The 11,708-nt window shown below is 44.4% G+C and overlaps 1 protein-coding gene and 1 pseudogene across 1 annotated transcript; both read right to left on the bottom strand.

Moving 5' to 3' along the window:
• Positions 1–4,058: 4,058 nt before the first annotated feature.
• Positions 4,059–5,104, bottom strand: LOC124900971 (uncharacterized). The gene has a single exon (XM_047417969.1). The coding sequence runs from the start codon at positions 4,767–4,769 to the stop codon at positions 4,293–4,295; it is 477 nt and encodes a 158-aa protein (XP_047273925.1). The 5' UTR covers positions 4,770–5,104; the 3' UTR covers positions 4,059–4,292.
• On the bottom strand, positions 10,549–11,449 carry PRELID3BP6 (PRELI domain containing 3B pseudogene 6; annotated as a pseudogene).

Below are 11,708 nucleotides of genomic sequence, written 5' to 3'. Positions count from 1 at the left end.
TTTTACAGTATTGAATTCAGCTGCATATTATAAATATTTGTAAGTTGGATTATATTATGGAAGTACTTGGTACAAATGGCCATGCAGAGAAATAGGAATGAGACTGCATAGTCTGATATTTAAAAAATAAGTGGAACAACATTGGGAACCCCCTGTTCATATTTCAGATCTCTATTCTCTCATTAGAACTTAACTGCTATCCTCTGGTCCCTATTTTTGAAAAAAAAAAAGTATCTAAAAATCTGAAAAAACATTGATGAAGATATCCCAAGAGCCAGCCTCCTGGTTGCAAGACCCCAATCAGAGGACTAAGCTTAAATCTAATAAGATGTATAGGCTTGGAGCCAATGGGGTGAGAGGATATCCATGGAAGGTCCAATTGTCCAAGGCCTCAGACTCATGAAGAACCTCAAATTTAGATGTTAGATTTTCCCTCCAACTGAGATTGTACCTACAGTCACAGAGCTTCATGAATGGGAATGAAAACGGTCATGTCTCAATTTTTAAACTGTGATCAATCAGAGGACCTCATTGCCTATGGCACCGTGTCATCTAATAAAATGTTTGTGTTGTCTAATCTTGTAGTTAGTCCAGTGACAGTGCGTTGCATTTTTATGTTAAAAGAGTACACTTGTTAAATGTAGCTCTAAAAACACACCTGGTTTTTGTTTTACTGTGTTTATTCTTTGTGCTTAGGCACATTTAGGCCTTTCTGTCTTCTCTGTTGAATTGTGGGCCTGGACTCCTAAAACCTCCATTTCTAAATTTGCCTTGCCAACAGGGTCACAGTTAGTCTTTGTCAATGGTAGTCCGACTTGGTGAGACACGAGACAGTAAACAGGTCAACAGTCATTCTGGTTATGGCCTGGCAGTAAGGTGGCAGCACATTAGTTTGGCTCTCACAGTGTTGGCTGCTTTGGTTTCGGTTCCTGTGTGAACTCTGACAGGTAGAGTCCTTTTTTTTCCTTTCTTTTGTTTGAGACTGAATTTCACTTTTGTCACCCAGGCTGGAGTGCAATGGCACGATATCGGCTCACTGTCAGCCTCCGCCTCCCGGGTTGATGCGATTCTCCTGCCTCAACCTCCCGACTAGCTGGGATTATAGGCATGCACCACCATGCCCAGCTAATTTTGTATTTTCAGTAGAAACAGGGTTTTTCCATGTTGGTAGGCTGGTCTGGAACTCCTGACCTCAGGTGATCCACCCGCCTCAGCCTCCCAAAGTGCTGGGATTACAGACATGAGCCACTGGGCCCAGCCGGTAGAGTCCCTGTATCCAGGAATAGTTACGAAAACAATTTAAAAATGGGAACTGGGATTGGTTTTCAGACCAGGACATAAATATAAGCACAGTGGATGAGGGCTCAATCATTTGCTAAACTTGTATATGGTTAGTACTTCATTGTTACTGTAAAGCAAAAATAAAATGTGAAGACCCCACACAAACATCTGAATGGACCCCTTCTCTCAGCCAAGGGGATTTCAAAGTCAGCCTGAAAAAGCAGTTCCCGCCCCCCAGCCTCCCCACTGCATGGTGGCTCACGTCTGCAATCCAAGCACTTTGGGAGTCCAAAGGGGGCGGATCGCCTGAGCTGAGGAGTTCAAGACCAGCCTGACCAACATGGTAAAACCCCATCTCTACTAAAAATACAAAAATTAGCTGGGTGTGGTGGTGAGCACCTGTAATCCCAGCTACTAGGGAGGTTGAAGCAGGAGAATCGCTTGACCCAGGAGGCCAAGGTTGCAGTGAGCCAAAATCGTGCCACTCCACTCCAGCCTGGGTGACAGAGCAAGAGCTGGTCTCAGGCTGGGTGCGGTGGCTCACACCTGTAATCCCAGCACTTTGGGAGGCTGAGGCGGAAGGATCACGAGGTCAGGAGATCTAGACCATCCTAGCTAACACGGTGAAACCCCGTCTCTACTAAAAATACAAAAATATTAGCCAGGCGTGGTGGCAGGCGCCTGTAGTCCCAGCTACTTGAGGCAGGAGAATGGCGTGAACCCGGGAGGCGGAGCTTGCAGTGAGCTGAGATCACGCCACTGCACTCCAGCCTGGGCGAGAGAGCGAGACTCTGGAAAAATAAAAAAAGAGTTGGTCTCAAAAAAAAAGGAGTTTCAAGCCATGATGGAAAGGGAGATCCAGACATGCCCCATAATATTCTCCTCTCTTTTGGAATTAATGATAGAACAGACTCTTTCAGTCTGATGAGAAACATTTACTACCTAGCTCTCTGAAGACTGCTACCTGGAGGGCTTTATCTGCATGGTAAAACCTTGGTCTCCACAATACCTTAAGGTAACCCAGACACTCCTTTCTAGTGATAATAATTGTTTAACCAAATTGCCAATAAGAAAATCTTTGAATTTGCCTTGGACTTGGAAGATCCTGCTTCCGGTTATACTGTGTTTCTGGACTGAACCAATGTACGTCTTTCATGTATTGATCCCATGTCTTCCTAAAATATGTATAAACCAAGTTGTGCCCTGACCGCCTAAAGCAGATGTTTTCAGGATCTCCTGAGGGCTCTTTCATGGGCCATTGGACACTCATATTTGGCTCAGAATAAATGTCTTTTAGTATTTTACAGATTTTGACCCTGTGTCTGCTAGAACCTTAGAAAGCACAGCACCTGTGCTTATGCCTTTGCATTTCGAAGTTGGCAACAGTCAATGGGAAACTGGATTCCAAATTATGCCAGGGAATACTGGGCCAGGGGCTTTCAGCAGGACCCTTACCGTTTCTGGAATTTCAAGGGCTATTACAATGGTCTCGTCCAGGACTCATGAGATGCCTAACTGACATAGTTCGGGCAGTGATGTGGAAGTGAGGAAACTCAGGCAGTCATTGATTTCTTAACCCCACAGATGTTCTTCCTCTGTCTCTGGGTGAGAAAAGAAGACCTGGAAGAGCAGTGAGGGACTTCCAGGGTGGGGAATGACTGTCTCCATCACAGGTAGATAATCTAGGTCCTATCTGTGATAGGCTATCCTGATGGATCAACAGGTTACCCAAGCTGAAAAAAGCATTCAAGCACTTCCTTTGGAGTGTGAGGCAGAAACCAGGACAGCTACTGGTCCACCAGAGGACAAAAATCAACCCCATTTTACTACTTTGGCTCTTCAGTGTGGTGCGCATAGGGCAGTGAAGGTGGATGAGCAACAACATCCACCTTCAGCTATACACGGAGACAACAGAAGACTCCAGGCAGGACAGAGGAGGGCAACGACAACATGGGGGCAGTCCCAGGTGGATGTATCCGTGTGTGTGTGTGTGTGTGTGTGTGTGTGTGTGTGTGTGTGTGTGTGTGTATGTACTGTGACAGTGGTCAGGGGAAGGGAGGGGAGGGTTGAGATCTTCCCAGTAGAGAAGTGAAAAGCACAGAACTGAGTAAAGAGGTCCCAGAAAAGAAAGAGGAGCCTGCAAGCCACTACAGAAGTTTCTTGCCCAAAGGAATGGTCTTTTGCCCCACTAGGGGCTGTGTATGTTGTGAAGTCCATGGAGGTATCCAGGGTGTGGGCTTCCTGGCTCCAGTAGACTCAAGGTCCCTTTGAACTAGGGAGGAAAGGGGCCTGTAAGGTCTCCCCAGTTGGAATAAGCGTCGGAATAAAGCACATCCTGACAGGGCTGGGGGGCACTAATTAAACTCTATGGCTGGGAGTGGGAAGGGGGAGGTGGGGACAAAGGGCTGCTTTCTCTGTGTGCAGGCTTGAGATGCACAGGGGGTGTAAGGAGAGTCTGAGAAGGAGGGGGAGAAGGAAGAGAAGGAGGACGAGGAGAAGGAAGGTAAGTTTTCTGGGATGGACCTGGTGCTCCAGGTAGACAGGAAGCCTGGGCTGCGCAGTGTGTTTGGAGGAAGGTGGATGAAGGGGCAAGTCTGTTCCTTGGCGCGCCCTTTGGCCCGGGAGGCCCTGGCTACCTCCCTGCTCCCTGGCCGGGAAGCCTGAGAATGTCCCGCGTTGGCGTGGTTCGGGACAGCACAGGGACCCCCAATCAGAGCAGCCCTTGCATTGGTCCATCCATCCCCAAAAGCTAGGCCAGAAACACACGCGATGCAGACTTTTGCCTTGGCGTTGGATTTTATTCCGAGAACAGACTAAAGAGAATAATGTGTCCGAAGCGCTGCTCAGCCACAGCCTCCTGAGTGGCATGGGAACAGAGCAGAGGCATTACGGAAACCCAGTTCTTGGGCAGAGGATCAGGAACCCAAGGGCCTCGTTGGACATCTCCTGGCTTCTGAGCGCCCAGGGCGGCCGTCCCAGGCAGGCTGCGGTCTTCTTGGCGGACAGGCGGCCTATGCTGCACAAGGAAGCCTCCAGGCTGAGCCCGGTGGCCGCCAAGGCTCAGTAGCAGGGCGACGACACTCCGAGAGGTCCCCATCGTCAGACCTCTCTGGTTCCCGCGACCAGTCTTCGAAGAGGGCCGATCGCGGCGCGTGTGGCGGCCGCGGAGCGCAGTGACCGGGCTCCTCCGACGAGGCTGCGGCCGCCACTCCTGCCTGCGCCTGGGCCTCCTCCTGGGTGGCAGGCGTGGACTCTTCGTCCGAAGGTTGTGCACGCCGCACCAGGGGAATCCAAAGAACGCGCTCCTGTCCCGTGGGGAAGCCCCAGTACCGCTGATTCTGGTTCTCAGAGTGGTGGCCCAGCGGTGTTGGAAGGTAACGCGCCGTCCCGCGAATTCGATCTTCTGGGTCTCCGGATGGTTCCCACTGGGGCTCTCGGGCTGTCTCTCTGGAACCAAAAGCCCCCCTCACATGGCTTCGCCAGTGCATCGCTTCTTCCAGGGGAAGTTTACAGAGACAAGGGGATTCAGAAGATCAAGCTTGTGGAGCCCGCCTCCTTCTATGCTCCTCCTGCTTACGAGGCGGTCCAGCCCGGAGAGATCAAGGAGAACTGGGCGGTGAGCTAACTGAGAGCTAACTACATCAGAAGAGGAACCGCCCCAGTCGCCTTCAGTGTCCACATAGGCCCCTCCTGGAGCAAGTTGTGGGAAGTGAGTCTAGTGAAGACAGATGGGATTAGCAGTGAAAAATCCAAGAGACCTCCGGACGCCTAAGGAGGGAAGCTCTTTTGGGAGACGGGGAAGTGTAGATATCCGATTTCTGACCCCAAACGTTCTGGTAGTACTACAGGAGAGACCGAGAACCAGGGCTGTGGGAAAGAGGTATGTCTGTATCTTTGAGCTAGAGTGTGTGCGTTTGGTGGGATGGATACTGGGCTGAAGGCAGGGTGTGGGTGTGGTGTTTGCGATGAAGGGGAATGGGAGGGAAGCTCAAAGGATTATTTGGGAGGGAGCTTGGAGGTGGTTAGGGAAAATGGCCCAGTTCTAAAGATTAATTCCCAAAGTGTTGGGATTACAGGCGTGAGCCAGGTCAGGAGTCTGAGACCAGCCTGGCTAACATGGTGAAACCCTGTCTCTATTAAAAAATACAAAAAGTAGCCAGGTGTGGTGGTGCGCGTAGTCTCAGCTACTTGGGAGGCCGAGGCAGCAGAATCGCTTGAACCCGGGAGGCGGAGGTTGCAGTGAGTCGAGATCAGGCCACTGAACTCCAGCCTGGGTGACAGAGCAAGTCTCCGTCCCAAAAATAAAAAAATATATAAACTGAATGGTTGTATCTACCATATCCCGAGGTTCAAAAAGAGCAGTGATGTAAGACCAATGCCCAGTAATTTGTGAAAGATCAGAAAATTGTAAGTGTGAAGCAGGTTAACTGTGCACTGCTTACCAACTTCTTTGAATCAGCTGAGACATAAGATATTCATAAGCAAGCTATATGAAGCAAATTTGTACTTACAGACAGGCAGCAAGGGATAGCAAGACTAGGGTTCATTGTGTGTTGGTCCCTTGTAACTCAGAAAGCTGCCTACGGTAGATGGTGTCTTAACTGCACATGCTCTTCTTGCACCACAGCTGAGGGACCCCAATAAGCAGCTTACCTTGCACGCTGGGCTAAAGGGTTGAAGGACATCTTGTGCTAGATGGAGACAGGAATACAGCCCAGGCTGTTTCAGCCACTTCCTCCTTATTTTAGGATGTTGCACTCCCAGCACATTCTACAGTTATTCTTGAGGACTACAAGCAAGAAAATGGGGGAATTTAGTTGGTCCAAAGCCACCCAGCAAACTTTTCTGCAATCAGTTCAGTTATTGTATTGAAAAGACGTTTCTTAAAAGAAGACATACAGATAGCCAACATATATAAAAAATGCTCTTTTATTACTAATCATCAGGGAAATGGAAATTAAAACCTCAATGAGAACCTTTGGATCCTCCTTCCCCACCAGGTTTTTGTTACTGTTAACAGCACAGATATTAATATTCTTTTACATATTTCCTAGTGTATATGTATGTTCAACAATTTTTCTTGGACGTGTACTCTGAAATGGAATTGGTAGGTTTTGAGATATGTGACTTGCAGCTTCATAAGGCAACAGATTGTTTTTCAAAGTGATAGTACAAATACATGTTACCATTTACAATATATTAGATACTCTGAAGTTTAATATGCTCTCTAACACTTGGTATTGTCAGGTATTTTAACATTTAATCATTGAAAGGGTGAAAATAGCAGCAGCCCACGATTGTTGAACAGTCAGGCAATTTCACCCTATATGGACATTGTTGATTGCGGCATGATTCCCTCCACAGAGGCCCCTTCCTGATTTATCATTTTGGGCTCTCAGATTCTGTTCATGATTACCATTGTTATGAGATAATCCTGGCACTTTAACATTCTCCCAAACTGAAAAGGAGGTAAGGCCCATTTTTGTGTATGCACCGCTTAAGATAATGCAAATTGAAGCCTATTGGAAAGGTGTTATTTTTTTTTTTTCTTTTGAAACGGAGTCTCGCTCTGTCGCCCAGGCTGGAGTGCAGTGGCACGATCTCGGCTCACTGCAAGCTCCGCCTCCCGGGTTCACACCATTCTCCTGCCTCAGCCTCCCAGAGTAGCTGGGACTACAGGCGCCCACCACCACGCCCGGATAATGTTTTGTATTTTTTTAGTACAGACGGGGTTTCGCCATGTTAGCCAGGATGGTCTGGATCTCCTGACCTCGTGATCCGACCACCTCAGCCTCCCAAAGTGCTGGGATTACAGGCGTGAGCCACTGTGCCCGGCCTGGAAACTTTGTTTTTTGTATGCAGTTCAGCCAGTTCTAGCTAAGATGTAAACATTGGAAACTAATTTGGAACTGAAGGAAAAAATGGTTAAAAAAAGTTTTAGATATAAAACTACTATGGAAACTGCATTAGCCAAAGGTTTGGTCCACAGCATTAACTGGATTACCTATCAGGGCAGATAAAGTTTAGCCATGTGGACAGGTCCCAGTTTTGTCCTGTCCTGAAATAATTTGGATCCACTCCAGCTGCCTTTTGTAAAATAATGAGTTTATGATGCCATGTCATGGCTAGAGTTTCACGGTAACATCTATTTGATCTTTGTGTGTATGGATACGTGTTTCTATGTGTTTCTGTGCGTGTTACATGTATTATGTTGTATGTTATGTCCAAAATGGCACCATATTGGCTTATAAGTAAATGAGTGCTTACAAATTTAGCAAGAAAGTCCAAATGCTTTTCAAATTTGTGTGAATTTAGTAGTCTTTAATAATAAGCTTGCTTTAAAACTATTCACAAAATAAAAATAGAAATGTCTTTGGAATGGTAAACATACATTTTTTTCTGGGTTTACTAATTAGATGAGTTTTATATTTGCCTTTGCTAAATATTTGAACATGCTAGAATTTTACATGAAGGTTATAAGATCATAAACTCAACCAAAAACAGAATAATCTTTCTTTGAATGACTTTTTTGATAAATAAGACTAATTTAATATTGTTGGTTCCATAAGAATAATTAATTTTTCTGTATTATCAGAAAAAAATGCCCATGTGTTTAAGATTTTTGCATAGGTGAACACCTGATATTCACAGGCCATGCAAATTGTTAACAAAGAAATAACTTGGAGCGATAATTAGTGTTGTCTAATGTCTTAGTTCTAAGAACTAATCTAGATAAACTGCTATAGGTGAATAAATTGAATAAATGTAAATGGAATCAATGCTTGTAGGTGAACTTTTAATGTAACTTAAACTATTAAAATTATTTCAGATACCATTGAATGTCTGGGTCATTTCCAATTAAAAAAGAATTGTGACATTGGGCATTGGTCACACTTCTGAATCCATTAATGTGAAATAAAATCTATGCTATGAGTTAAGCATTAGAGCATTAGTGGACCTCAAATGAGCTGAATAAGAATAAGGTCTGAGTCTGGAAAGTAATCAAGCTACAAAAAGGGGATTGGCCCAATGGATGCCTGTGTACTTGCCCCCATACAGGCAAGCAATGAATGTGAAACAATATCACCTGCCAGAGGGGCACTGAAGTAACCCAAATAATCCAGGGTGCTGGAGTGAGATGCTGTCTCAGAATTAATTAATTAATTAATTAATCAATGCATTGTATTCTCTGCTGCACCTTTTTTTAAAAAAAATCTCTGTCTTCTGAAATGCCTGAAGAAAGAAAATAGTCTCAGTTGATGCAGGCCCTGAGATGGGCAGAGATTATGAGATCATCACATACACTTGGTGCTATGGACTGAATTGTCTTCCCCAAAATTCATGATGATTTTGATTAATCCACAAGGTGATGGTATTTAGAGATGGAGCCTTTGGGAGACAAGCACGTTAAGATGAAGTTACGAGGTTGGGGCTTTCATAATGGGATTGGCGGCCTTCCGAGAAAAGGAAGAGATACCATGTCCTTCTTGTTCTCTCCCCTTCTCCCTCTCTCCCTTTCTCCCCCTTTCTCTCTTTTTCTTTCCCTCTGTGCCATGTGAGAACACAGCAACAACATGGCCATTGGCACGACAGAAAGAGAATCCCCACCAAGAGCTGAATCTGGTGCTTTGATCTTGGACTTCCAGATCGTGGGTAAGACTCACCAGGGGAGAATTCTGTAGGTGCCTGGAATTGTCAGATCTAGAGTTAATGCCCTGGAACTCTGTGGTTGTCAACTCAGAAGGCACAAGGCTATAAATCTTCCTGTGGTCCTCTTTAATCTGCCTTCGCTTTTTGTTTTTTGTTTTGTTTGGATTTTCAAGTAACAAATTTATTTTTCCAGTTAACATAACCAGTCCATGGTACAGCATATTAAATCACAAACTACAAATCCAAGGACCTTTTGCAACCTTTACCAGGTTGCAAAACTTTGGCAAATCAATGTAGTACATTTTATTACAATGAAAGCATTTTTGTTAGAGTCATATATTATTTTAGTGATAATTTTCACTCCAAATATACTTAAGTAGTAAACCAAAACACTGGTTCATTTGTTTGTTTGTTTTGTTTTGTTTTGTTTTTGAGATGGAGTCTTGCACTGTAGCCCGGGCTGAAGTGAAATGGTGTGATCTGAGCTCACTGCAACCTCCGCCTCATAGGTTCAAACGATTCTCCTGCCTCAGCCTCCCAAGTAGCTGGGATTACAGGTGCCCACCACCACGCCTGGCTAATTTTTTTGTATTTTTAGTAGAGATGGGGTTTCACTATGTTGGCGAGGCTGGTCTCAAACTCCTGACCTCGTGATCTGCCCTCCTTGGCCTCCCAAAGCAGTGGGATTACAGGTGTGAACCACTGCACCCGGCAAACACTGGTTTTTAATGATGGTTTAAAATAACTTGCAGAGCAAGTTATTATTAATAAACATATTAATATGTTTGAAAGCTATACAAGTTCTCCTTTTAAATTGAATTTCCTCATGCAAGGTGTTGAAGTTTACAGCAGCAGGACAATTGTTTGTATGTAAGAGATGGCTCTGCTTTGTTCTGGGGTTGGACCAAAGCCAGGTGGTGTTCCAAAGTATGAAAAGCTTTAAAATTCTACCTTAAGTTGATTCAATGTCAATGCAAACTTCCAAGTACTTTTTAAAAAAATGTTAAAATTTTGCTTATACACAATTGGTGAGAGTGTAAATTAGTGTAAATATTTCCACCATTGTGGAAAACAGCATGGCAATTCCTCAAAGACCAAATAACAGAAATACCATTTGACCCAGCAATCCCATTACTGGGTATGTACCAAAGGAATATAAATTGTTCTACCATAAAGACCATACATGCATGTGCACTATTCACAATAGCAAAGACATGGAATCAACCTAAATGTCCTTTAATGGTGGACTGGATAAAGAAAATGTGGTATATATACACCATGGGATACTATGCAGCCATAAAAAAGAACAAGATCATGTCTTTTGCAGGAACATAGATGGAGCTGGAGGCTGTTTTTTCTTAGCAAACTAATGCAGGAATAGAAAAACAAATACCACATGTTCTCACTTACAAGCTGGAGATGACATGGACATGGACACAAAGAGGGGAACAACAGACACTGGAGCCTATTGAAGGTGGATGATGGAAGGAGGGAGAAGATCAGGAAAAATAGTAATGGGCACCAGGCTTCATACCTGGGTGATAAAATAATGTGTACAACAAACTCCCATGACACAAGTTTACCAAAATAACAAACCTGCATATGTACCCTGAATTTAAAATAAACATTAAGAAGAATAATTTCTTTCAATGTTAAATTTTTCATAAATACTGGAATCTCCAATATTAGACAGTCATTTCAAATAACACTAATTTCAGACGATCCGTTTTATTTAGACGCCATGCATCTCTTTGTTTTGATCTAAAGTCACTGTCTTATGTCAGCCTACTTTTTAAAAATTCTACTTAAAATATATTTATAGTTTTAAAATAAATATATTGCCGGCTTGGAGAGACGTGGGGTACTTGTCTACACACATTCATTATCAATTCACTACGAAGGCTGCTGCAGCCACCACCGGAGTTCTTATGCCTCCTCTTGTGAAAGCCATCAATTCTTCATTTTTTAACATGTAATTTATGTATGACCCATTCCAGTGCTTCCGTGCCTTTGATAGCATTTGAAGATATCCTACTTGCCATCAGTCCTTCAAGATAACTGCTGAGGCTGCCTCCTTTCACTGATTATGGCTTCTTGAGTCAAAATAATTTTTTTCTGGGTCCTGAGGATGTGGTTTGTATATAAGTCTCTCACCTAATGAAACCATATTTTAAGTGAAATATTAGTAGATTTAAGTTCCATTGTTTTCTCTATAGGATTAACTACAGAATATTCTAGCACATATGTTTTGGTTCTTTCTGTACCAATAAGAGACTTGTAGTTCCCACTCTGTGCAGAGAAGTCTGTGGCTGTGCAACTCTTCATTGGGATCTATATGTGTGTCCAACACATCAACCCACACCATGCCCTGGTTCATAGGGCTTTTGGGTATTTGTGCATTGCAACTGTTGTAACAATTTCCCACAGGTGATCAAAGACGTGCTCTGAAGTCCAGATCTTGATGATGCAGGCAGTCCAGGAGATGTCTGGGCAGTGCAGGGGAAAATGAGGCAAAGAGGCTACACCTGCCCCACTGCACCCCCAGCATGCCAATCAGCTTCGCAGTAGGCAGGCACCATCGGCCTCATGTGAAGGACATCCCAACCCCCTCTTCCAGCCCTTATTACAATGTAAACTTTAAACTATTTAAAAGAGGGGTCCCCAACTCCCCAGACAGCGTGCCTGTACTGGACCCTGGCCTGTTAGTGAGGCAGGAAAATAGGGTCTGGAGGCCGGGAACATAAGGCCCATTCACACTTCAGCTATAACAGGAAATA

Source organism: Homo sapiens, chromosome 5 (genome assembly GCF_000001405.40).
Source record: "Homo sapiens chromosome 5, GRCh38.p14 Primary Assembly".
Lineage (NCBI taxonomy): Eukaryota > Metazoa > Chordata > Mammalia > Primates > Hominidae > Homo > Homo sapiens.
The sequence above is the reverse complement of the archived record's forward strand: the minus strand, read 5'-3'. Positions and strand labels throughout refer to the sequence as shown.

Excerpts from the sequence above, each read along its gene's own strand:
- LOC124900971 (XM_047417969.1), bottom strand. The coding sequence starts at position 4,769 with ATGCACTGGCGAAGCCATGTGAGGGGGGCTTTTGGTTCCAGAGAGACA.